Source organism: Homo sapiens, chromosome 11 (genome assembly GCF_000001405.40).
Source record: "Homo sapiens chromosome 11, GRCh38.p14 Primary Assembly".
NCBI lineage: Eukaryota > Metazoa > Chordata > Mammalia > Primates > Hominidae > Homo > Homo sapiens.
In genome coordinates this window covers 59,264,225-59,292,207 of record NC_000011.10, presented here as the reverse complement: position 1 = coordinate 59,292,207, position 27,983 = coordinate 59,264,225, and the positions used below count along the sequence as shown (strand labels likewise).

At 46.6% G+C, this 27,983-nt stretch overlaps 2 pseudogenes, besides 1 other annotated feature; both read left to right on the top strand.

The window, feature by feature from the left end:
• On the top strand, positions 875-1,156 carry RN7SL435P (RNA, 7SL, cytoplasmic 435, pseudogene; annotated as a pseudogene).
• LOC643709 (macrophage expressed 1 pseudogene) lies at positions 2,659-5,066 on the top strand (annotated as a pseudogene).
• Positions 19,009-19,058: an enhancer, noted in NCBI's record as "active region_4754". NCBI's record gives its function as "activates an Ori minimal core promoter by ATAC-STARR-seq in GM12878 lymphoblastoid cells {active_cell/tissue: GM12878}" and the evidence as "EXISTENCE:reporter gene assay evidence [ECO:0000049][PMID:35858748]".

The window sequence follows — 27,983 nt, the reverse complement described above, 5'->3', positions numbered from 1 at the left end:
TGGAAAACTAATGAATAATCCACCCCTTGTTTAGCATATAATCAAGAAATAACAATAAATATTCCTAGTCAAGCAGCACATGCCTCTGTTCTGCCTATGGAGTAGTCATTCTTTTGTTTCTTTACTTCTCTAATACACTTGCTTTCATTTTACTCTATGGACTCACTCTGAATTCTTTCTTGTGTAAGATTCAAGAATCCTCTCTTGGGATCTGGATCAGGACTGCTTTTCAGTAACATTATGACATAAGAATCTCGCATGCTATTAAAGTTGTTTGAAATAATTGTGGTGGCTGTAAAATATTTTGTCATATGAATACAATGTAATTTTACTCTTTTTGGTTCTTTTAGCTATTTTCCTTTTTTTTCTGTAATAAAATGAAGTCAAAGGCTGTAGAAGAAATAAAAATTACAGTGACTGGGCATCTGGAGAAATAGGAACACCTGAATATAGAATTATTTGTATTAACCTTGCTTGTATTCTCATTTCAGGAGAGTGAAGGCTCAACAGGATCTACTAAAGAGAAAGGAGAGGGTAGCAAATTGTCAGCTTGTCTCCAAAGTGGTGTAAGTGAGACAGTGTTCTAATTTTGATGAACAATCCCAGAAATAGTTTGAAGAGAAATGTGGATATATTTCAACAGATTTATTGGAAGTACTCAAGGGCATTCAACTCTCATTTTTCTAATTCTGGGATCATGCTGCTGAGGAATATATTTATAACTAACTGATTTATAAATTAACCAGAAGATCTTGCAAAAGTTTGGTTCTCTAGCCAAATATAGACTGGGCACTGGTTCATAAATTAATCTCTCTTGATAGCTGGTGCCAGCTCCCAGAAGCATGATAACCGTGGCACAAATACACTCAGAATGGACGGGCACAGTAGTGCATGCCTGTAGTCCCAGCTTCTCTGGAGGCTGAGGCAAGGGGATAGCTTGAGTCCGGGAGTTCTGGGCTGTAGTGTGCTATGCCAATCAGGTGTCCTCCCTAAGTTCAGCATCACTATGGTGACCTTCCTGGAGCAGACCACCAGGTTGCCTAAGCAGGGGTAAAAAGGCCCAGGTTGGAAATAGTGCAGGTCAAAACTCGCATGCTGATCATGGGACCGTGATCATAGTGGGACCATGCCTAGGAAATAAGCGAGACCCTGTATTGGAAAAAAAAAAGACCCAGAATGCAATATTTCTGGATTTACAGAACACCATCATGGTTTTTATAATAACTAGTGAAGCCGACCCTGGGAAGCTAGGCAACTAGCCTCGTTCTTTCTAAAAACACTTCTTAGTTGCATCAATGACCATCAGAGGAATTCAATTCCTTGGAATCTTCTTTCCAGGATGCATACAGGCGATGGTGTAGTGATACCTGTGAATTGCAACCTGACTTTTTCAGTCCCACACCGCATCAGGTACATGGTATAATTTTGGGAATGTTAAGGATGCAATTGGGAGCTTCATTAACTCCCCTGGATTCCCCAGCTACCACTAAGTGTACTAAGACACAGCTTAACTGTCCTCAAGAATTAACAGAGTTGGGTCTCAATCAATCCTGGCACCAGATCAATGGGCCTGGAAACATTGTTTTAAATTATGGGCTCTAATAGAGCTGGCATTAGCATATGAAAAGACATTTATGAAATTATATTCTTCTAATGATGTAACAAATGAATTGTTGCTTTTAGAAAAAATACTGAGTAATGAAGAGCCACCTTTTTTTATGCACCTAAACTGAATACACACACTTAGCAATGGAATGAAAAATTAAAGGTATGACAGGATGACAGGTACCAACTTCATGCAAAATGCATACACACAGGGGCTATATAAATGTGTATAGATATACACATATGTTCCTTGACCCCTGTCTGCCATTGATAAATCAAAATCTAGATAACAGTGTGGTTTTGTCCTAAATATTTCTACCTGAAAGAAAACAGGTCAGTATAGGTGCCCCTTGCTCTCACCCTGAATGCTTAGAACAATGCAAACTGGGGTTTTTCAGCATATTTTAACAGAATCCTCTTCAGGCCCTGTCAGCTCTGCCCCAGATAATGTCATCCCCAAAGACAGAACTATTAGGGCTTATAACAATGAAACCCACAGGACAAGTGTCCAAGAGTTTCACTCCTTTCTTTTGTGGAAACAGCCTCCACCCCCAGGCAAATGGGAAACCGGGTTGGCCTTGACTTACAGCTTGCATGGGTATGGTGGAGGCAGGGTGTTTCAGTAAGGATGATGTTGTCATTTGCCTCTGTGTTTCCAGTAAAAGGAAACTGGTATTGGAGTCCCAGGAAACAGCAGTCGGGGAAAATATAAAACATCAAGTCCAAGAGAGTGAGAAAAAAGAAAAGACAAACTTTCTGGTGGAGGACGCAGTAGGTTGTGGGGTCACACTTTTTCTAAGTGCACACCCCTGCAGCAGAGTAACCAGTCAGGGCTGGGGGAAAATTAGGATAGTTAACTGTTAGGCATGTAGGGCTGTGTTTGCATGTTTAGCATGGCATAAATTATTCAAAGTCCTGATGGACTTTAATATTCTAACCAACTCTCATTTCCTTATTTTGCAATTAGATTAGCTTAAAGAGAAACTGGTAGCTTTTGGAGAACTGTTGAATTTTGGAGAACTGTATCCACAGCTGCTTTCTTTTTCTCCATTTAGTTTGCCTGAAGCTTGCTGGCCACTGCGTAGGCTCCTGTGTGGCTGGGGCTGTCTGAGCCAAGAACAGCTTCAGGGCTGCCATCCTTTTCTGGACAGTGGCAGCATGGGTTACATCAGGCAAGCCTTTGGGAGAGACAGATGAAGTTGGATTTCAAAAATGCAAGGATGCCTGGAAACTGCCTATCCTGGAAGTCCTATCTGGAGGGGGCTGGGACAATCTGCGGAATGTGGATATGGGATGGGTGATGGACTTGACTTACACCAACTGCAGGACAACTGAGGATGGACAGTATATCATCCCTGATGAAATCTTCACCATTCTCCAGAAACAGAGCAACCTGGAAATGAACTCAGAAATCCTGGAATCTTGAGTTAATTACCAGAGAAGTATCTCCTACTACATCAACACAGATCTCTGTCTTTATTCCAAAGTCAATGCCAAGTTCTCTGCTGAGTTCCAGAGAATGAAAACACTTCAAGTGAAGGACAAAGCTATAACTACCCGAGTTCAGGTAAGAAACCTCGTCTACACAGTCAAAATCAACCCAACTTTAGAGCTAAGCTCAGGTTTTAGGAAGGAGCTCCTTGACATCTCTGACTGTCTAGAGAACAACCAGAGAAGGATGGCCACCTACCTGGCAGAACTCCTGGTCCTCAACTATGGCACCCACGTCATCACCAGTGTCGACGCTGGGGCTGCTCTTATTCAGGAGGACCACATCAAGGCCTCCTTCTTCCAAGACAGCCAGAGCAGTCGTAGTGCTGTGACCGCCTCTGCTGGACTTGCCTTCCAAAACACCGTGAACTTCACATTTGAGGAAAACCATACCTCGGAGAATGTCCTCACCAAGAGCTACCTCTCAAACCGAACCAACTCCAGGGTGCAGAGCATTGGAGGGGTTCCTTTTTACCCAGGCATCACCCTCCAGGCCTGGCAGCAGGGTATCACCAACCACCTGGTGGCCATCGACCGCTCTGGCCTGCCGCTGCATTTCTTCATCAACCCCAACATGCTACCTGACTTGCCAGGCCCCCTGGTGAAGAAGGTGTCAAAGACAGTGGAAACAGCTGTGAAACGCTATTACACATTCAATACCAACCCTGGCTGCACAGATCTCAATTCTCCCTACTTCAATTTTCAGGCCAACACTGATGATGTCTCCTGCGAAGGGAAAATGACCAACTTCTCTTTCGTTGGGGTTTATCAGAAATGCAGCCAGTTCTCAGGGAATAAAAATGTTGTTCTCTGCCCAAAGTTGGAGCAGAAGAATCCACTCACTGGTGATTTCTCCTGCCCCTCTGGCTGCTCCTCAGTGCACCTTCTATCCAAGACTTGCGAGGAGTGTTGCAACCATCTGGAGTGTCATAAGAAGTGCACCCTCCTTGTCTTCTGCAAGACCGTGTGTGAAGATGTGTTCCAGGCGGCAAAGGGTGAATTTAGGGCTTTTTGGTGTGTGGCCAGTAGCCAAGTACCTGACAACTCAGGACTGCTTTTCAGGGGCCTCTTCAACAGCAAGAGCATAAACCCCATGACAAATGCACAGTCATGCCCAACTGGCTACTTTCCATGGAGACTCTTTGAAAACCTCAAGGTATGCGTTTCTCAGGACTATGAGTTGGGAAGCAGGTTTGCGGTCCCTTTTGGTGGGTTCTTCAGCTGCACAGTTGGGAACCCCTGGTGGTTCCAGCCACATCCAAAGATTTAGGGGCACCTTCCCTGAAAAAGTGTCCGAGAGGCTTCAGCCAGCACCTAGCCCTCATCAGCAATGGATGCCAAGTGTCCTACTGTGTCAAGGCTGGGCTCTTTACAGAAAAGTTCCTTCCCCCTGCTAGTCTCCCGCCTTTCACCCAGCCACCCCTTATGAGTGAGGCTGATGCCAACACTGTCATAGTGACCAGTTCTGAGAATGCGAGATCCTAGATTAAAGATTCCCAGACCCACCAGTGGAGGCTGGGAGAACAATTAGAGCTGCGCAGCACCATGAGTGCCATCCATAAGGATGGTGGTGGTCTGTCAGGAGGGGCTACGGCTGGTATCGTAGTGGGAGCCACCACCATTCTGGCTGTTGTCATCACCCTGGCCATCTGTGGCACCCGGAAATTCAAGAAGAGGGGATACTTGGCATTTTGGAAGAGGCAGAGTTTGGTTCCAGGCACTGCAGCAACTGGAGACAATCCTGACGAAGAGCAGGGGCAGAGTCCAGCTTAAATCTCTCCCTGAAAAGGGTTTCTCTCATCTCCAAACAGCATGGTCATTTCTGATTACTTCTATTTTCCTAAGTGTTGAAATGGCAAGTGCAACCAAATCACACAGAAATTTGTGACTTCTTGTTTAGGTCTCTGGGCCAGGCAATTCATATTGCTACATGGACAAGGGTGGGGTTGGGGAGAGGGAACAGTTGGGACTCTTGAAGCAAAAGCCATCCTGGGACTAAAATAAGAAGCAGGTGTCCTTTCCCAATGTATCACTTTCTTCACCTGAATGCATTTGTGTAAAAACAGAGAAGGGGGAATGTTAACATTTGGATTTGGAAACTATGCATTTACTCTGAAGTCTGCAGTGGTTTCCAACGTGTGTGCTGTAAGAATTTCTGCTTAAATGCATCTCTCTCTCCTCTCCCACACCCCCTTTAAAGTTGTCTGGATTTCATGCTTCTAGAGCCTGGCAAAACCCTGAAAAGACACAAGTCCTGCTTGGCCACTGTTTTTTAACTTTTAGGGCTCCCTGTTGACAGACTGTGTTATCTCCTCCATGTCATCTAAACAGCATCTGAAAAGAAAGATGTTGCCTGCACCAATTCCACTTTTTTCTAGCTTCCCCATGAAGTCTTCCTTAGACCAGACCACTCTTGGACTTCTGACTAGTGTCATGAAGTCCTCCAAAAATATTTTAACATACAAGCTTCTATTAGTAGGTCAATGGGGAAGGGACAGTTTGTAGACAAGGAGTAAGGAAAGACAGATAAAAACTGAAAAAGATTCTCATGCTCAGGAGAAACTGAAATTCTTACCCACAACCAACTACCTGATTCCGTCCTGTTAGCTCATCACAAATGGGGCATTGAAAGGAGCTGTAGATTTGGATAGACCAAATTTTATGGTTTTATGTTCTATGTTACCAAAGTACAACCCCTTCCTCTTCCAAGGATGGTCCTTACCCTTCCCGTCTTCCTGCTATATGCACACACACACACACACACACACACGCACATGCCACATTTCAATAAGTTTGCATTGTTCTGGGTGTGAAAAAGGCAAGAAGTTAAAGTAAGCCCACATCTAAGTATTATTTCTTCCCTAAGACCAAAACAGAGTAGGTAACACCAATTATGGACCCTACTTTTTTTCCCCACAGAAAGGGAGCTGACACGATCAAATCCATGTTTTCAAATGAACTGAAAAAGGCATCCAGCACCATTTGTAACACATTTATTTCAGTTCCAGGCTGAGAGCCCTGGGGCAGTTAGCAGGACACATGATTGTCAGCTGGCAACAGTTGGGGCTTTACTCAATTTTAATACCAATCTCATCTGATTGTAATTACTCCACCACTGTCATGTTCCTCCACAAAATGTTTTTTAAAGGATACATTTATTCACTGAATCAAATATCATTACTGATTTATCTTCTATGAAGGATGACTGTTCTCTTTGTTAATGTTCACAATCAAGATCTTGGGCTGAAAAGATCATCCAAGGAGTCTGAAGTATCACAGCGTGTGGGAAGGTGGGAACCAGGATACCCATTCATTTCCAACTGAGATACAGAGAAGTGAGTCACAGAATTTGAGCCCTGCTCTCCTGACTGCCCAGCCAAGGACACTGATTTCTATAGCCCCTTTACTTAACTCTGCCTCTTAAGCATTAAAACGTTCTTCTAAACCTCTGAGTGTTTTGTGGGTTCTGAGTGTTTTGTACGTTTTAGCCAAGTTAACCACTTGTCTGCAAATACTGACTTTCCTATGAATTCTTTGAAGATTATTGAGTCAGAAAGGAAAAATACAGCCCCAAATTCCCAGACTTTTAATGCATTAACTGCCTATTGAAATGAGAAGTTCTTCACAAACTTATATTCCCACTAACAAGATCGCACATAAATATGCATTAAAGTATGTACTAAGAAACCCTCTGTCCAACGGCTCATGCATATGAAGTCCGAACATGGGAGTTTGCCAGTTGCATTCATCAAGTCGTTTTGCGGAGTCAGATCCCTGATGGAAGAGCTCACAGGCTCTGCCTTCCAAGTCCTGGGTCCCTAACTGGTAACCTTAGGCTAGGGTCTGTGGGGAGACCAACCCTGGCTTCCAAGAAAACCACATTCCATGGACTATCAGAAATAGACACAGATTTGGGTGACAAAGGAGGCTCTGCATTTACATTTTATTTTTGTGTTCTTGTCAGTTTTGAGATGATTAACATTAAACATTTATTTGAGAAACAACAGGCAGAAGCAACAATTCAAACATACTTCATATTGTAGTCAGGCGAAGGAACCTTTAAAAATGAACATTCACAATTTTAACGATGGTTTTTCTCCCACATGTTCACTTACTTATTTTCCCAGCCATATTGTCTGTTCCGTTAGGTGAAGAGTCTAACCAGGTCAAATGTGTGGGTGAGAACAATGTGGAAGATATATTTTTTAAGTGGGTGCTGAAGGGACTTTTCCCGCATCCAGTGGTAGGGCTTGTGGTTGCCCTCAGGAAGACAACCCAAATCCCTCACAGAATAGGTGCACTAATCTACAAAAGGCGGAAGGTTAACAACAGCAACAATTTTGTGGTTGTTCATTTGCCATTTATTGTTCTGCACAGACACCTCATGAACACCAGGTGGCGATGTCCTCTCTCAGAGCAACACCAAAGACTTCAAAACACTCCAGTTACAAACCGAACAATTCACATTAGGACATTCACCTGCCTCTCCCAGAACCCCCAATCTAATGCCGGGGACCACAGAGAAGGAAAGGGGTCAGGGGTTCTTTCTTGTACCACATGCGCATTCCCCCAATTCTCTCATGCATACAATAGTGCATCACCAAGACGAGTACTTTTGACCAAGTATAAAACCACACAGACAACCAAATTTAACAAAAAGCGGAAGAGAATGAAAACACAAAGGCACCCACAGCCACGTATACACAATTAACCTTTTAGGGGATGGGCACCTGACGAGGTTTGTCTCCACTTACATTTGCCATCCCTGGAGACTCTGGAAGGGAGAAACTAGGCTGCTGGTGCTAAGACCATGAAAGGGAAGGCATGGAATCCCCTACTTGGGCCAGGAGAGCACAGCAGGGCTTCTGGTGGGAAAACACCCTGTGTCAAGGTAGTAGATGCACAGGGCTCAGCTGGCAGGGTTCTCACTGAAATCTAGACTGCACCTTTCCAGGTTGGCACAAGAGAAAGGGCAGAGGAATGCTCCCCGCCTTGCTGGGCGTAGTGTTAGAAAGGAAATTCAAGATCCCTACTGCCCAGAAAGCCACACAAGAACAGCACGAGGAGGAGGAAATCTCACTGGACATCTGCAGAGAGGACAAGAAATGGGGCACCCACACAATCAAAACCCCAGGGGAAAAGGCTTGAAGGTATGAAAACGACCTCTCCAAGTGGTATTGCCACAGGCACAGCGGCTCCCTTTCCATCTTGAGTCCTCTTCCTTCTGCTCCTGGCCACCCCTTTCCCCACCTATACTTTCTTCTCCCTGACGTGGGGAAATTGATCTCTCCCCAGTGCCTAATTCCATTGTGAAAGTCCGTCTTCTTTTCTTCCCCACCTCCTACTGCCTCACTGTGTCTTTCTCCCCAAGAACCCTCAGCCTATTTCTTCACCCCTCTGTGGCCATCTTTCTGTGGCCTAGAAGTCCAGCAGATACTTGACCAGGTTGCTAAAGGCAGAGATGGCATGAGACTCTCCAAATTATATCTGGTAACCTGGCAATGGGCATCGGTGTGACATTAAATATCGCAGGGATGGCTCTTTTATTTAACTCAGGTGTTTCCTTGCTGAGTGTGGGAGGAAATTGCCCTGTGGTTCAGTAAGCTCGAGACCATTATCACTCTGGAGGTACTTAGGCAGTCCAAAGCAAATAATTATCTCATTGATTAGTACTTTTATTACCTCAGAGGCTTTCTCTGTCTGGCATGGGAATACTTCTACCCACTTACTGAAGGTATCCACCCATACGAAGAGATGCTGGATGTCCCTTATCCTTGGAATATGGGTGAAATCCATCTGCCAGTCTTTCCTTGGAATAGAATAGCATCCTATTCTTTGTGTTCTGGGGGAAGAATCTGTTAGTTGGAGTTATTTTTAAGGCAAGCCTCATAAACATTAAGTATCTGTTTGATCGTTTTAAATAAATTTTTACCTATTGCCATCCTCTGATTGTCACCATCCTGAGAGCTGAAAGCTCTTTCCCTGAGAGGTGGTCCATTATGTCTCCACAGGAGAATATTGAGGGTTTTTCTTTTATGGAGCCCTTCCAGATCAGGGGGACCTCAAGTGGATCAGAAATACGGGGCACTCTTGCTGCCAATTTAGCTTGGTCTGCCAACTTACTTCGCTCAGCTATTTTATCTGTCCCCTTTTGGTGGCCTTTACAATGTATTACTGCCACTTCCCATGGAAAGAAGATTGAGAATAGTAGCCTGTCAATTTCCTGATGGTGTTTAATGGGAGACCCATTGGCTGTGAGGAAGCATCTCTCTTTACAGATAGTGCTAAGGGCATGGAGAACTAAGAAAGCATACTTAGTATAAATATTAATTGCTGTATTAGAGTTCTCTAGAGGGACAGAACTAATAAGATATATATATCATATATAAGATATATATGATACGTATCATATATATAAGATATATATTATATGATACGTATCATATATATAAGATATATATAAAATATATATATGATATATATATAAAATATATATATGATATATATATATATATATATATATGATTTTCTTATTAACTCGCATGATCACAAGGTCCCACAATAGGCCATCTGCAAGCTGAGGGGCAAGGAAGCCAGCCTGAGTCCCAAAACTGAAGAACTTGGAGTCCAGTGTTTGAGAGCAGGAAGCATCCAGCATGGGATAAAGATGTAGGCTGCGAGGCTAGGCCAGCCTAATCTCTTCACGTTTAGCAGGGCTGGCAGTTGATTAGATGCTGCCCACCCATATTAAGGGTGGGTCTGCCTTTCCCACCCCACTGACTCAAAATGTTAATCTCCTTTGACAACACCCTCACAGGCACCCACAGGATGAATACTTTGGATCTTTCAATCCAGTCAAGTCGACACTCAGTATTAACCATCACAAGTCCACCACTTGTCAACTTGAACCCATACACATCTCCTAAGATCATACATAATCTTCAAAAAGGACAATAATAAAGTCATAACTACACCTAACATAATACAACTATCCTTCATACAACTGGAAATGCACCAATCCCCAACCCAAATACTATTACATAAAGTTAACAATACTTAAATTCTGATATGAAGTCAAAAAATCTTATGTCACATGATAAAGGAAAACTGAAATGAAATGAAGATATTTTCTTAGTAGAAGTGTGTACATGCACAAACATGTTTTTAACAAAAGAAGGAGGAAATCATAATGACAACTACAGTCCTCATTTCTGCAGCTCATTATATGGTCATAGCTGGTATTGATAACTACTTTCTTCTACTACCCATTCTGTATTCCCTTTGCCTTCAGCAAGCACCTCAGCAGGTTGTGGATTTTTTCCTGGTGGAGTGACCAAAACCTTTATTTCTGAAGGGTCTGGGCCATTTGTAGTTCTGCCTAGATTGGACTGTTACAGTTTTCCATTGACCTTAATCACAGGGTATGGCAATACTAAGGAGAGACCCTAATGGATCTCATGTATTCCATGCATACTCTTCCTTACCTCCATTGTGGAATAGTAGACTGATTTCGTCTTGACAGTCCGGGTTAATCACCCCAGCCAACACTGTAACTCCCTTCTTATCCTGTTGACTTAAAAGTAGGAGGAGCTCAAAGTGTCCAGGTGGCAATCTTAACTTCCAGTTTAATGGAATCATTGTTGTGTCAGCTGGTGGCAGCCTTCCTCCCTCTGGAACTAAGTCCTCTAGGCCAGCAGAACATAACATTGTGGAAACAGGAAGTAAAAATTTTGCTACTGAACACTAGGGGTGGTGGTGAGTGGTGCCATTTCCACTTTCACCCCTTGATTCCTGGACCCGTAAATCTTGGCTGTGGGAGAAACATATTGGATGCTGATTCAGAGCATACGCAGCCTTCTGGAGAGCTTTGTCTCAGCCCTGCAAAGTATTGTCACCTAGTTGACATTGTAGTTGTGACTTCAAAAGGCTATTCCACCGTCCTATCAATCCAGCTGCTTCAGGATAATGGGGAACATGGTAAGACCAGTGAATTCCATGAGCACAAGTCAACTGCCACACTTCTTTAGCCATAATGTGAGTGCCTTCATCAGAGGCAATGCTGTGTAGAATACCACGATGGTGAATAAGGCATTCTGTGAGTCCACAGGTGGTAGTCTTGGCAGAAGCATTGTGTGCAAGGTAGGCAAACCCATATCTGGAGTAAGTGTCTATTCCAGTGTGGACAAACCTCTGCCCTTTTCTTAATGGAAGAGGTCCAATATAATCAACCTGCCACCAGGTAGGTTACTGAGGCTGATTACTCTGAGGATTAGTGCCATATCGAGAGCTCCGTGTTGGTTTCTGCTGCTGGCAAATTGGGCACTCAGCAGTGGCCATAGCCAGTACAGTCTTGATGATTGAAAGTCCATCTTGCTGAGCCCATGGGTAACCTCCATCCCTACCACCATGGACACTTTGTTCATGGGCCCATTGAATGATGACAAGGGTGTCTGGGGAAAAGCTGAGTGGTGTCCACAGAACTTGTCACCCTATCCACTTGATTATTAAAATCCTCCTCTGCTGAGGTCACCCATTGGTGAGCACTCACATGGGATACAAATGTCTTCACAGTTTTTGACCAGTGAGAGAGGTCCATCCACACACCTCTTCCCCAAATTTCTTTATCATCATTTTTCCAATCACGCTTCTTCCAAGTCCCCAAATACCCAGCCAAACCATTGGCTGCAGTCCATGAATCAGTATATAATTGCACATCTGGCCATTTCTCCTTCTATGCAAAGTGCACAGCCTGGTGCACTGCTCGAAGTTCTGCCCACCGGGAAGACTTCCTTTCACTGCTTCAGGGATGTCCTAGAAAGGGGCTGCAGTGCTGCAGCTCTCCACTTTTGGGTGGTGCCTGCATATTGTTTGTGAACCCAGGCCTTAGTCTTCTCTTCATCTGTCAACTGATCATAGGGAACTCTCCATGAGGCCATCGGCTCAGGCTTGGGGAGAGAAGGCGGGGTGACAGGAGTGGAGACCACGGGCATTTGAGCCACTTCTTCATGTAACATACCTGTGCCCTTGGGACCTGCTCATGCGCGATCACATATATACCACTTCCATTTGATGATGGAATGCTGCTGTGCATGACCCACTTTATGGCTAGTTGGGTTAGAAAGCACCCAGTTTATGACAGGCAGTTCAGGTTCCATGATGACTTGATAACCCTCAGTCAAACGTTCAGTTTTCATGAAAGCCCAGTAACAGGCCAAGAACTCTCTCCAAAGGAGAATAGTATCTGCAGAAGATGGCAGGGCCTTGCTCCAAAATCCTAGAGGCCTCTGCTGTGATTCACCTATGGGGGCCTGCCAAAGCCTCCAAACAGCAACCCTATCTGCTACTGACACCTCAAGCACCATTAGATCTGCTGGGTCATATGACCCAAGTGGCAGAGCAGCTTGTACAGCAGCCTGGACCTGTTGCAGAGCCTTCTCTTGTCTGGGACCCGACTCAAAACTGGCAACCTTTTGGGTCACTTGATAAATGGGCCAGAGTAACACACCCAAATGAGAAATGTATTGCCTCCAAAATCCAAATCGTCCCACTAGGCTTTGTACCTCTTTCTTGGTTGTAGGAGTAGCCAAGTGCAGCAACTTATCCTTCATCTTAGAAGGAATATCTCCACGGGCTCCACACCACTGGACCCCCAGAAATTTTACTGAGGGCTGGGCACAGTGGCTCATGCCTGTAATCCCAGCATTTTGGGAGACTGAGGTGGACAGATCACCTGAGGCCAGGAGTTCGAGACCAGCCTGGCCAACATGGTGAAACCCTGTCTCTACTAAAAATACAAAAGTTAGCCAGGCTTGGTGGTGTGCACCTGTAATCTCAGCTACTCAGGAGGCTGTGGCAAGAGAATCGCTTGAAACCAGGAGGCAGAGGTTGCAGTGAGCCAAGATCATGCCACTGCACTGCACTCCAGCCTGGGTGATGGAGCGAGAATACATCTCAAAAAAAAAAAAAAGAAAGAAAAGAAATTTTACTGAGGTGGAAAGTCCCTGAATTTTAGTTGGATTTATTTCCCATCCTCTGGCACACAAATGTCTCATCAGTAAGTCCAGTGTGTTTGCTACTTCCTTTTCATTGGATCCAATTAGCATAATGTCATCAATATAATGGAACAGTATGATATCTTGTGGCAGTGAAAAGCAATCAAGTTCTCTCCGAATAAGATTATGACACAAAGCCAGAGAGTTGATATACCCTTGAGTAGGACAGTAAAGGTATATTGCTGGCCTTGCCAGCTGAAGACAGATTGCTTCTGGTGGGCCTTATGGACAAGAATAGAGAAAAAGGCATTTGCCAAGTCAATGGCTGCATACCAGGTACCAGGAGATGTGTTAATTTGCTCAAGCAATGAAACCACATCTGGTACAGCAGCTGCAATTGGCGTCACCACTTGGCTAAGCTTATGATAACCCACTGTCATTCTGCAAGATCCATCTGTCTTCTGCACAGGCCAAATGGGAGATTTGAATGGGAATGTGGTGGGAATCACCGTCCCTGTATCTTTCAAGTCCTTGATGGTGGCACTAATCTCCACAATCCCTCTGGGGATGCAATATTGTTTTTGATTTACTATTTTTCTAGGTAGAGGCAGCTCTAATGGCTTCCATTTGGCCTTTCCCACAAAATAGCCCTCACCCTACCAGTCACGGAGCCAATGTGGGAGTTCTGCCAGCTGCTAAATATGTCTGTGCCAATTATGCATTGTGGCACTGGGAAAATGACCACAGAATGAGTCCGGGCACCCACTGCACCCATTGTAAGTCAGGCCTGAACTAAAATTTCATTAATTACGTGACCTCCATAAGCCCCTACTTTAACTGGAGGACTACAATGATGTTTTGGGTCCCCCGGAATCAACATCAGCTTAGAGTCAGTGTCCAGTAGTCTTTGAAATGTCTGATAATTTCCTTTTCACAGGTAATGCACAGTTACCCTAGTAAAAGGCCAGAGGTCTCTTTGGGGAAGGATGGGAGAAAGAATAACAGCATAAATTGTCGGTAGTGTAATAAGGTCCTTCCCCAAGAGGACCTGGCCTCCCCTTCATTCAAGGGGTTCTGGGTCTGTAAACTGGCTTAAGTCTGGAAATTGACTGAGGGGCTGTGATTCTCTATTTTTATAATTTGAATTTGTATTTTTTTTCCATTTGACCTAGAAGATTCCTGCTTATATAAATCAAGTAGGAATGCAGTAGGCTTCCTATCAATTTCACTTCTAGGAACACCATGATTAATTAGCCAGTGCCAGAACTCTACATGAGTCAGACTACTCTGATTGCTGCTTTGCCTCTGCTGTCCATTATGGTAGCTACACCCACCTTGCCTTTGATGGTTGAGTGCCACCACTTGGCTCCTGCCACCTAGGGATCCCATTTTTCCCATTGTATTTAAATTTTGTAGTTGAGTGACTGCAGTTCCCACTGGTAGATCTGACATACAGAGAAGAGCAATTACAGGGCCTTTCAAAGATGCAGGTGCTTCCCTCACAAATCTACTTCACAAGGCATTGGTCAAGGGCATATCTTCTGGCCCTCCCAGCTGGGATAAGTAGGTCTAATATGACTAATTTACTCCACCATCCCAATCTCCCTAAGCCTTTGAATCCCTTTCTCTACATTAAACCAAGGGACATCAGGCATTTCCAGCTTGCTCATTTTTTAATCCATATTTCAGCTAACCAAGCAAATAAACTATTAGAACCTTTTCTAATTCCCTGAGCTGCAATATTAAATGCAGAGTCCTACTTAATTGGCCCAAATCAATAAATTCAGCCTAATCCATCTCTATGTTCTTTCCACTAATATCCCACACCTTTAATATGCATTTCCATGCCTGTTCTCCAGATTTCTGTTTATATAAATTAGAAAACTCAAGCAGTTCTTTTCAAGTGTAGTGCACCTCCTCATAGGTAACACTCTCAACCTCACCTCTAGGGGCCCACCAGGACTTTAGTCTAGTTATAGGTCTAGAAGCAAACAGAGGTGTTGGGGGTGGCTTCTGAGGAGAATCAACATTATCTTGCCTGGCAACCGCCTCAGGAGAGCCATCACTGTTGCCTCCAGCAGCACAGGGTTTATCTCTAAAGGTGTAAAGTCTGATGGCAGTATGGGTCAGGGAGGGGATGTTGCCGCTACTAGGGGTGGGGAGGCTGTTTTTTCTGGCAAAGAAAGGTTTATCAGAGTTTACAAACTCAGTGTCCCCAGCTTCATCAGGGTCCTCCCACACATCCCCACTCCAAGTTGCAGGGTCCCATTCTTTCCCAGTCAATGCCCTCACTTTAACAGTAGACACCTGGCCAGGTTGTGCATGCACCTTTTGTTGCAGGTCAGCCACTTGCATGATAAGAGCATGTGTCTGTTTTTCCACAATTTTAGCTCTTTCTCTACAGGGGATAAGACTCTCACTCAGGGCAATCTTAGCAGATTTAAGGCTCAGTATCTGCTTTTGAAGCTGGGAGTTAGAATCCCTGAGCTCACCATTTTCTTTCATCACTTTGTCCACTGAGCTTAGGGGCAACCAACCAGCTTCATTATGTTCCTTGGTTCTCCACATATAGTCAAAGGTATTATGTACACAGTCACTAATCTCCTAGCCTCTCATGAGCAGTGAATCAGGAGTGTCAAATGCATTTATTTTGCATAACTCTCTAAACAGTTCATGCCAAGGACTATCAGTGTTCTCCATAATATTAGAAGTGGAGTCCTTAGCATTTTTGAGTCTAATCATATTAAGCAGCCAACTCCAGAAACCCCCAAACCAAGGAAAGAACTCCATCCTTAATATTCTGTTCCTTTAGAACCATTCTAGTCTCAGTACAAAAATCTGTATTAGCCACAATTCTCTAGAGGGACAGAAATAATATATTAGTTTATTAAGTATTGACTCACATGATCACAAGGTCCCACAATAGGCCATCTGCAAACTGAGGAGCAAGGAGAGCCAGTATGAGTTCCAAAACTGAAGAATTTTTAGTTCGATGGTTGAGGGCAGGAAGCATCCAGCATGGGAGAAAGATGTAGGCTGGAAGGCTAGGCCAGTCTAGTCTTTTCATGTTTTTCTGCTTCCCTTTTTTTTTTTTTTTTTTTTTTGAGACAGAGTCTCTCTGTGTCACCCAGGCTGAAGTGCAACGGTGTGATCTCAGCTCACTGCGACCTCTGCCTCCTGGGTTCAAGCAATTCTCTTGCCTCAGCCTCCTTAGTAGCTGGGATTACACGCACGCACCACCATGCCTCACAAATTTTTTGTATTTTTAGTAGAGACAGGGTGTCTCCATGTTGGTCAGGCTGGTCTCGAACTCCTGACCACGTGATCTGCCTGCCTCGGCCTCCCAAAATGCTGGGATTACAGGCGTGAACCCCTTCCTAGCTTCTGGCTTTAGGGGATATTGTCTTTTGTTAGGGAATGAAGTGGGGTCCTTAAAATGGATTTGGACTGATGTAGCTGTGGTGGCTCAGCCAATTTTTCCCTGAATTGTCCAAACTTCTGGATTTACAGAGTCTGTCCTAGAGCCATAAGGATGGTGGTACTCATATGAGCTAAAATTTCCCTACCTAGCAGAGGAGTAGAGCTTTCAGGCATGACTAAAAAGCCATGAGTAAACAAGAGGTCTTCCCAGCTACAACTAAGGGATTGGGAAAAGTATCAGGTTAAGGGCTTTCCTGAAATGCCCATCACGATTGTCCTAAGGGAGGAGAGGAGAACAGAAATGGCAGCACTGGTATTGAGAAGGAAGTTCACCTTCTTCCCTTCGATCTCCAGAATCACCTGGGGCTCCTGGATGGTGATGGCAATCTGAGATGTTGGAGCCGGGGAGTCGAGTCCTCAGACCTTTCAGTTTTGCTGGACCATTGTGAGGCTGGCTCTGGACCCAGCAACCTGTACCTCTCGGGACAGTTCTGCCTGCCTTCCAGTGGTACCCACCACAGGCTGGACAGGGTCCAGGTGATCTTCTCTTGCTGCCTGGGCAATTCTTCTTAGAAGTGCCCTGGTTTGCCACATTTGTAGCAATTAGCAGGTGCACCTAGGCGATCCTGGGGTCTGGAGGCCTGTAGAGCAGCTACTAGAGCCTCTGCCGTTTTCTTATGTCTCCTCTCTTTCTCCTGAGCCTCCTCCTGATCGCTGTTGTAAAAGACCAAGGTGATCACATTTAGGTGGTTTTCTAAAGTGCTACCTGGTCCTATGGTCTGTTTTTGTAGCTTCCTCCTGATATCAGGTGTTGCCTGAATAATAACTTTATCATATAGGATTAGTTGTCTCTCTACTGAATCAGGTGATAGAGAGGTATGCTTCATCAAGTCCTCTCTTAGCCTTTCCAGAAAGCCAGAGGGATTCTCATCTAATCTCTGGTCAATCACAGTTTTGAGTAATTGAAAGGCTTAGCTCTAGTCCTTCCTAAGCCCTCCAATATGCACACCTGAAAGTGTTTCCTCCTCCATTCTCCCATGTTATCATCATGGTCCCATTTAGGGTCCTACAATGGTATCGCCGTCTTTCCAATTGAATAAGGTGCCTTGTCTTCTCTGGCACTATATGAGGTACAAAGCTCATTTCCAAATTTCTCTGCAACTTGCAGGGAGGCTGTTTCTCCACAGTGGTCAGGGTTTGCTTTAAGAGAAATATAATGTCCTTCCAGGAGAGTTCAAATACTTGGGTTAAATCCTGGAAGGCCTTTATATACCTGCCAGGGTTGCCTGAAAATCTACCAAGAGTTCCCTTTATTTGTCTTAAGTCTTGTAGAGAAAAGGGAACCTGTACCTTAATAGGGCCATATTCACAAGGCATTTCTTGTATGGGCATCAGGGAGGCTGGCACTCACCTAGAACAAAAATGTCTATGGTGGGGCAAGTTTAAGGGGGGACCTGGACAGGGTCGATAGGATTGACCCAGAGAACTGGCTTCAGGGGCTGGCGCCTTTTCTGTGGGCGTTCTAGGGTTTGTTTCCCTGGTCCACTAGGACTGTCCTTTGTGGGGTTTTTTGATATAACAATTAGGAGGGCTGGGTGAACTTTACAGTGTTAACAGAGGTCTGGGTTATCCTGGGTGAGCCCCTAAGAAATGTTGCAGTTTCCTTACTCTGTATTTTAGTAAGTTCCAAGTTCTTGTCTCGTGGCCACGAAGAAAGAGGTATGCGGATACAGGAGGGTGGGTAAGGGAGAGTCGAGTTTTATTAAGTGACAGAAAGACAGCTCTCAGTAAAGAGAGGGGACCTGAAAGTAGGTTGCTGCTGACCAGCTCATCCAAGGGTTTTTATCCCTCCTTTCTAGAGATGTTTTTCTCATTTGCATCTTACATAACCTCCTACTTCCAAGTTCCTTCCTAGTTCCACTTCTTACTGTGCAGGTGCCTTCTTGTCCACAGTTACTCCATTGTAATTATTACCCATAGGCACTACAGAAAAGCCCAGTTGGGGGTGGGGGTGGTGGTAAAACTGCAACGTAGATGTCATGTTCATGATATTATAATAAGCTGGGTCAAGTTAAGGACATTTAGTTGATTTATTGTGCTTGTGCCTAAGTTGAGACAGTCCATTCTGAGCAAACATCCTGGTATAAGAGGAAGTTCTTAACCACATCTCCACCTGCTAGCTACGTAACAGGGGAAGAATATACTTCCCTGTGGGTGTTGTTCTCTCCAGAGACTCTCCATCTCTACCTGCCTAGCCAGCCCCTAACTGCCTCCTCTCACAAAAGGTACAGTGACCGGCCCTAGGTCATGCAGAAATTTGGCTGGCAGAGGGGACAAGACCTGCATGAGGCCTAGGGACAGAACATTTTAAGGCCAAAGCCAATGCATAAAGCTGAGCCCTTACACCTGTGCTGGATGAAATCCCAACCCTACAATAAGAAGTTACTTCCTCTGACAACACCTGGGTTCACTGAAAAAAGAGGAGACAGAAAGCCTCCCGCAAACCCAGCTCAGGATGATGTGTCTTGCCTTGTAGTCAGCTTTGCCCTCCCTCAGTGGGAAAAGGGGCCAAGTTCAGTGCTGCCAGCAAACACAGGGCTGGCCTGGTGACCGCTGTTTACAGCTTGCACTGGGGCCCAGGGAAAATGGCAGGGAAGGGTCCCAACTGGGCCACTTTAAGAACACACAACCCCAAACACAAGGAAAGGGTGAAGGGACTTATTTGGGAATTTCCAGCTGGAGGAAATGGGTTTTCTTGGTTTCTGTTCTGGGGGGTCTGAGAACATGGAACTCCAGTTCATCGAGGTGTGGGGTGTATCGAGGAGGAACCAGCTTACAGGGGGCCAGCCGCAGTGCCTCAGTTCCCAAGAACAGGCCACACTCCTGGGCTCTTCCTCAGGCTTCTGGCACGGATGCCTCACAGCTGCACACTGGCACCTGAGAGACAATTACTCGGTTTTTCTGTAATGATGATTGCTATTCTGAAGATCATGTTCATGGATATACTGACAAGTTTTGACTTTTCTGTTTCTTTTAAGAAACTGTTCCGGGGAGTCCTGCATTAGAACAATGTGGGTGCCCTTGCTCTGGGTGGGAGGAAATTTTAGCATCTTGGTCCCAGCTGGCCAAGCTGAGGATGGACTTGGCCATGAACCCAACATGTGGTTCAGCCCCAGCGGGGATTTGCCAGGACAAACCAGGGGGGAAGGTTCAATCCGGCGTGGTAGAAAAGCAGCTGCCCACCTGGAGTTGTATATAGAAGTGGGCTTCCAGTCCCTTCAACTCTGTGAGCCTCTCTCCAATGTATGTGCCTGAGAAATAAACAAGTGAGGAGACTCATCTTGACTGTGTAAAGTGGGTGTCCCCCAAGCATACCTGTCACACCTGGAAGAGAAGAGAGGGACTTGTGACCTAAGTGGCTCAGAAACTTGCAGTGTAGGGTGCTGGATAGGATGGGGTTCTGGCAAGGAAGAGTAGACAGGAGCTGCTGGAGGGGAAAGGAACATTGACCAAGCACCTACTGGGCACCAGGCACATCCTGTGAGCTCCTGTAATCCTCATATCTAGTGGGTGTGTCTATGTGTGTGTTTGTGTGTGTGCACATGACATCCCAAGGTCAAGCCAGCATCTGTCCAACTCAACGCTCGTGTCCTATCTTCAGGCTGCTGCTCTCTACAGTTGATTGGTCTGGTCAGCTGACAGTAGAAGTTGTCCCCTGGGAGGTTGCACACACTATTTCTGCGATGTCCCATTGCTCCAAACACCTGGCATGGGCAAGAGGCTCCAGGGATGCTGGACTATGGGGTAAGACCCTCCCCAGATTTGAATTTTCCCTCAGCTGCTCATCAGGTCAGCGACCTCACAAATGACTCAGAGTCTCTGAGCCTCACTCTCCTTACCTGTGAAGGTTTATCTCCCTCCCCCAGGGTGTTCATGGAGATTGAACAGGGTAATGGCCTTCTGGGGAGTGATCACCCCAGGTCCTGATGCACTAGCTGATACCTCCATTCCCTTCCCTGAGTGGCAGCCACCTCGAGCCCACGATGACAGCTTGTGACTTTGCATTGATGCTTGTTTATTTATTATTCCAGGTTCAGCCAAAAATCCAGCCCCTCTCAAAGGACAAAGATCAACCTTCCAGAACAATTAGCAAACACTTCTCAGAGTCCTCCATGCTGTGCAGATGGTAAGCATCTCTGGGAGTCTCGCCAGCACTGTGAGTAAGGCAGCCTTTTTACCCATTTCACAGAAGGAGAAACTAAGGCTTAGTAAGGTCAAGTAACTAATTCTGCCTCCCACACTTCACTCCCTAGAGTTTTATGTGTGCATCTGTTAAAGTTCTCCTTTTATCGCCAGCAGTGTTTATGTATAATTAAAATAGCTCACATCTGTTGATTAACAGTCACATTACAACCTGCATTAACTCTTCCACTTAATGCCTGTTAAAGGATTAGCAAACCATTTTACAGATGAGGAAGGCAGGGCACAGAGAATTAATGTCCACACCATGCTTATCAGTGAGTGGAGCAGGGATTCAAACCTAGACCTTCTGGGTCTAGAGCCCTCCTCAGCCATCACCTCTCATTCTCCATTAGAGTTGGTTATCATGTGAGTTGAGGCCCAAAGGTTAATGGAAGTTATTATTCTTCTTCACCACCAATTGAACTTTTTATCTTTACCTACTGTCCTCTTCATCCTTTTAATGCTTTGTACCCTAAAATCCGCTTAGATATTAACTTTGCCAGTTCTTTCTTTTTGGTTACATGTGCCAGGTATACTTTGTCAAACTTTTAATTTTGGGTGTTTTGCTTTGTTTTTTGTTGGTGAGACAAGATCTCACTCTGTCGCCCAGGCTGGAGTGCAGTGGTGCAATCTGGGCTCACTGCAACCCCCGCCTCCTGGGCATAAGCAATCTTCCTGCCTTGGCCTCCCAAGTAGCTGAGACCACAGGCACGAGCCACCACACCCAGCTAACTACTTGTAATTTTTTTGATAGAGACAGGTCTTGCCATGTCACTCAGACTGATCTCAAAACTCCTGGGCTCAGGCGACCCACCCACCTTGGCCTCCCAAAGTGCTGGGATTATAGGTGTGAGCCACTGCACCTGACCCAATTTGTAATTTTGAACCTCTTCTTACTATCCTGTTTCAGTTTTTTTTTTGTAAACAACTATAGCTGGATTTTGTTTTCTAACCCAGTCTAAAGCAGTCTCAGATTTTGTTAGAACAACTGAAGGATCTGACATTTGTATGTCACTTTATTCTATGTGAATGGTTTATTTTACTCCTTTTTCCATAGTTTTGATGGTTTGGGCAAATTACTATTTATTCTCTTTCTAATTGTCAATCTATCATTACAGCAAATGGTTGCTTCCTGATCATTATATAGAAACAGGGTAAGCACCTGCCTCCCGCTAGGACTCTCTCTGCTTCCTTCCGCCCTACCCACCCCAGTAAGAGCTACCCAAGAAGGCTCCTATCCCTGCCACCTTCCACTGATATTTTCCTATAAACTGTGAGACTCAACTAACAAGGATTCCCTCTCCTTCCAACTTGGGGTCCCTATTCTGATCAACTGCCATTTCATTAGGGCCTTTCTTGATGATTTCCTTCATACGTAACACAAGCGGGAATATCCTCTGAATTTCGCTTGCTCGTCTGCAAAATATATTTCTTAGTCTGGTCAGGGAATGGTATTAATGCTCTGGTGAGGCTTCCTGGGCCCAGGCCAGCCAGAGTCCTCCGGTTTTCAGTGCTGCAAATGAGGAATCTGCTGCCAATGTGTTTCTTTTCTTCCTCCTTTGTCAATTATCTATTTATTCTGCTGGGAAGCCTCTTTGATTTTATCTGTAGCTTTCAAGAATGTCACCAGGAGATGCCAAGGGTGTATCTTTTTCTTCAATGTAACCCTGCCTGGAACTCTAACAACCTTTTCAATGTGCAAACTCATGCCCTCTTCTGATCAGGGAAAATTTCTACTATTATTTATTGATCATATTTGCCATGTCCAGACCTGCTTCCTCTTCTCCTTCCACAGCCCCTAACATTCACAGGTAGATGAAAAGACATCCACCAAACCTATATTTTCTTTCGTGACTTCCACCTGTGTTTCTGGTTTTCTGGGAGGCCTTTGTTTCCCAGAAACAGGAAAACCATCCTCTTTTCCACTTGATGTTTTGAATTTTCTAAATTTGAAAATCCTAGTTCTAGAACCTGTTTTCTTGGGCAGTATCTGGATTTCCCTGGGTTTTTGAAACCTAACACTTGTCCAGTATGTGCCGCTTGGCTTTCCTTTTCCCTCCAGCTGGGGGTCCCTCAAGGCTACTCCATGTCCCCAGCAGCCAGGTCCAGCTGTGGGGTCCCCTTCCAGTGGGTGCACGGTTATGCCTCTGGCCCCTGACCTGCCCTGGGGCAGCAATAGCTTTCAGCAACCTCTGGGACAGAGGGCAAGGGAAGAATAGAGCAGAAAGACTCTAACCTCATCTAAGCCCACTCAGGACTCCAAGGACAGGAATCGATTCACACTTTCTCTTCTGACTTGTTTTTGTAGAGATAAGGTTTTGTCACGTTGCCCAGGCTGGGTCTTGAACTCCCAGACTCAAGTGATCCTCCAGCCTTGGCCTCCCAAAGTGCTAGGATTACAGGTGTGAGCCACTGCACCCAGCCAGGTGCCTTTGTAAGAGACCTTAGCCCCCTTGCCTCTTCTGCCATGTGAGGACACAGGGAATCAGAAAGTGGGTCCCTTACCAGACACAAAATCTGCTGGCACCTTGATCTTGGACTTTGTCTCCAGAATTGTGAGAATAAATTTCTGTTTATAAGCCACCCAGTTCATGTTTTTATTTTGTCACAACAGCCAGAATGGACTAAGACATCCTCCCTGGGGAAAGCCCCCACCTCAGCCCCACTGTTTCTCTGCCTTCATCACCCAGCACCCACTGGAATGTCAGCTCCACCAGGGCAGGGCCTTCTTTGTCCCATCCACTGGACAGGACCTGGCTGTGAGTATGGTGGGATCTGCGCATGGGCCTGCTGGCTGACAGCCTGCCCTTCTCCGTGCTGGTGAAAAAGAGGGTTTGTTTGTTATTTCCAGTTTTCTAAAACATATTTTTAGAATTACAAACATCAGAAACACAGTTCCTAGTAGGGCTGCAATGGACCAGAGTAAGATGGAGCCAGGGAGATAGGAGAACACAGCCTGGTTCTCCTCCGGGTGTAGCGTACAGAGCCAGGCCCTGCTGCACCAGCTTTGCCTCCTCCCAACCCAAGCAAGCAGGCAGCCTTGGAGCCCAGCCTCAGTGAGGGGACCCAGGCTCTGGTCTGTCTTGCTGTGTGGCCTTGGCCACAGGTTCCCCTCTCTAGACCTCTGAGGCTGGAGTCGACCGGTGGGTCCCTGTGGGCCTGACTCACTGCCTTGGAAAACAGCCAGGAAGGCAGATTTCCAGGCCCCACCCAAGACCTAAGGAATCAGCCCCAGGGAGCAGGTGAAGATGAAACCTGCATTTAAACTAGCCTGTTTAGTGGTTCTCAGGTGGCTGTGGGGACTGTGGGTTGAGACCGTCTCCAAGGATAGATTCAGGAAGATCCAACTCAAACAGTTTTGCTTTTAAGTCTCAGCTCAGACCCCTCCTGGCTGCATTGACCTATGAGCCTTCTTGCCTCAGGTTTGTCATCTGTGAACCGGGCTGGGGAGGATTCTAGGGGCCGGTCCATGCACATAGATGACCTCACACGAAGCCAGCAGGAAGCAGGGATAGTGCCTGCCCTTCTGTTATAGGGCAAGATGCTCTGGCTCTCCACCCATAGCTGTCCACACCTTTGCAGGAAGTGGATCATACATGTTAATTTACTTAATCAGCTGAAATCCTGAAGGCTTCCTAAGGGCATCCTTTTTTTTTTTGAAACAGAGTCTTGCTCTGTCACCCAGGCTGGAATGCAGTGGCGTGATCTCAGCTCACTGCAAGCTCTGCCTCCTGGGTTCACACCATTCTCCTGTCTCAGCCTCCCGAGTAGCTGGGACTACAGGCGCCTGCCACCACGCCCAGCTAATTTTTTTGTATTTTTTAGTAGAGACGGGGTTTCACCAGGTCATCTTTTCAACTGTCTGGATGGGTTGGGGGAAATCATGGCCCCACAGCGGGGCTCCTGGCCCCAGCTGGCAAAGGTTCCAAATAGCTGCTGAAGACCTAGGAACAGGTCAGGTGGCTTTATGGCCAGGGGCTGGGGCCTGAGCTGTCGGTTTGAGGTTTGGCACTGACAAGTCAAAGTTCTGCCCGACTGGTCTCTTTCTTGCTATGAATAAACACTTGCTGTCGTCTGGATTAATCTCCAGCCTCTCAGCCACTCAGTGGGAGTGAATCCTCCTTGCCAGGGGGTGCCCTCTGGGCCTCAGAGAGTGAAGGACCTGGGACCTCTTGTGGACAATGCATTCAATCCCACAGTTGCCACTATGGTGTGTGAGTTTCTTGCATTGCCATTAGTTGGGAGCATTTAGCTTCCCAGGGCTACCATTCGGGTGAGCTGTGGGCTCCTGGCAGGCTGGGTGCCATGCAGAATCCGCTTGGCCTTCGAGGGGGCCATGAAGACTGAGGAGGCTTGGCCTAGATTATGAGAGGACCAGAAACTCAATGGGGAGTGATCTAAATAGACACAGGGCGAGTGCTTCTTGGATAAAAATAGAGCTGATGGGGGCCTGGGGGTGGGGGCAGGGTGCTCCAGAGCCAGAAGGTCAAAGGGGTGGTGCCGGCCACCTGGTCAGGACATAGAGGGGCCAGCAGGAGGGGCTCAACCTGGCATTTATGGACACGGCGGGGGTTGAGGCCTTTGGTCCTTCCTACATTGCCCAGGGCTAACAAAATTCAGCCTCTGGGCCCCTGTGGGGGCCTAGCCATGAGCTGGCCTGGCTGTGCCCTCTCTCAGGTTCTCTTTATCATAGTGGGGGATGGCTGAGTGAGCAGGCACTCCCAGGCCTCCAGTCAGTGCAACTGAGTTGGAGTGGTAAGGTGAGCTGGAGGTGGCATTCCAGAGTCAGGAGTGGGTGGGAGAGGGTGGGTGGTGGCTGGCCGAAAGGATGACTGAGCCAAAGCACGTTGGGACAGGTTACCTGCCCAGCACTCACCAGCATTAGGCAGGGCCATGTCTTCTTGGGGCAGCTGTGTGGGGCTCTGCCACCTGCCCCTGCTTCGGGCTCTGCCCTCTGGAGTCCGGACAGCGACCTCCTCTGCTGCCTGACCCTCCAGTGTCTGTGCCACATGGTGGGAGGATGAAGGGCCAGCGGGAGCTGGGTTCACCTCCAAGGCCCCTCACAGGGCCTTGCTGTCCAAATGGAGGGTGGCAGGCAGCTCCTGTTCACTCTGTCCATGTGTGTTCTTTCCTCTTTTCTTTTCCTTTTTTTTTTTTTCCAGAGACATGGTCTCTGTCACCCAGGCTGGAGTGCTGTGACATGATCATGGCTCACTTCAGCCTTGACTTCCTGGGTTCAAGGATCCTCCTACCTCAGCCTTCTAAGTAGCTGGGACTACAGGCATGCACCACCATGCCTGGCTATTTATTATTATTATTATTGCAGAGACAGGGATCTTGCTAAGTTGCCCAGGCTGGTCTTGAACTCCTGGCCTCAAAGCAATCCACCTACCTTGGCTTCCCAAAGTGCTAGGATTACAGGTATGAGACACTGCACCTGGCCTATGTGTTTACTGAGCCTCTTTGTGTGCCAGGCCCAGCTGGCAGGGGATCCTGGTGAGCCTGCCTTGAGGAGGCTTCTCTTCAAAGCTGCCTGTCTTTTCCCCTTTAAGCTGGCTCAAGCGCCTCCTGCCTGGAATTTTGACCTCCTATGGGGTCAAATTTTGTCCAGGTGAGAACCCTGAGGCCCAGGACAAGTGGCCTTCTCAGCCCTTGCAGCCAGTGGACTCCAGGGTTGAAGATGCCTCCCAGGCAGGGCAGGAAGGGCTAGAAAGTGGGGAGGAATGTGGTTAGCAGGAGGTGCTGCAAAAAGCAGCCCCAAAAGGGCTTGGGGTCCAGGGGACTCTGAAGGGACAAGGCTGGGTTGTGGCGGGGGCTCAGGAACACCAGCAGCAGGGTCTGGCCTGGCCTGGTATGGTCAGCTCTCTGACTTCACCTCTGTCTCTTCTGACTAATAACTCGTTAACCCTGCCACAGGTAGCTGTTGTCCTTGTTTGCAGATAGGGAAACAGAGGCACGGGGCTTGAGTCTATTTGCCACGGTGCCATCTGTGGCAGAGCTGGGCCTCAAATTCCAGGTCTTTCCCCGAACTCTCATCAGCTGTTTCTGCCTGAGTCGTGGTGTACTTATCGGTTGTTGCCCACAAATACTGCCAGTGGGCTGGGAGGTGGGGTTTGATGCATGCCATGAGCTCGGTGGGAAAAGTAGAGCGGGAGCTGGAGCTGGGGAGCAGCCCTGCCTTTGTGCCCTGTTTTCAGGGAGGAGAGGCAGCACAGAATGCCCTGTGATAGGCTTTGTAGCTTGGAGGTCTATCCCAGGGGCTACACAGGCTCAGAGACTCCAGACCCAGAGCCCTAACCTCTTGGGATTTCAGAGGGAGGCCAGGATGTCTGGGAGGACTGACTGGGGGCTCATCCCGCTCCACACACCAATCTCACCCCAGAGACACATCTACCGCCTCTCAAAGTGGCTGAGACTGTACCCACCCACTGCCTGGGGCTGTGTGGTCAGCATCAACCAGCCGGACATTGCACACATGCAAGCAGGCGAAGCTTAAAGCATAGAGGTTCCCGTGTCCTGGGTACAGGGCTGTCTTGTCTCATTTTATTTATTTATTTATTTTTGGAGACAAAATATTGTCTGTCTCTCAGACTGGAGTACAGTGGCGTGATCATGGCACACTGCATCCTCGACCTCCTAGGCTGAAGCGTTCCTTCCACCTCAGCTTCCTGAATAGCTGGCACTACAGGCATGTGCTACCATGCCTGGCTAGTTTTTGTATTTTTCATAGAGACAAGGGTTTTGCTATGTTGCCCTGGCTGGTCTCAAACTCCTGGGCTCAAGTGATTCTCCTGCCTCAGCCTCCCAAAGTGCTGGCATTATAGGCATGAGCTAGCATGCCTGACCCATGCCCCATTTTAAAGATGAAGAAACAGGCTCAGGTGGGCCAGCGGCTTCCTCCTGGGCACTGAGTGAGCCAGATGAGAATGTGGGGACTTCTGACTTTGCTCAGACTTGCCAAGAAGCCCCATTTTCTGGAAATGCCAGGGCTGCTGATTTTCTCTGGAACTGGGCCAGTACCCCAAAGTCCACTCTGGGCTCCTGAGTCAGGATCCATTCTTTGGAAGTCTCACTGTCCCTCTTTGGCCCCTCCAAATCCCACCAAAATGGCAAAATCTATTACAATACAAAATAGCTCAGGTATGTTTCACCCGGAAATTTCCCTCTAGAAATATGCCCCAGTTAAACATTAAAGACCCCAAATGGTGTTCACTAGGGCACTCTGCAATAAGC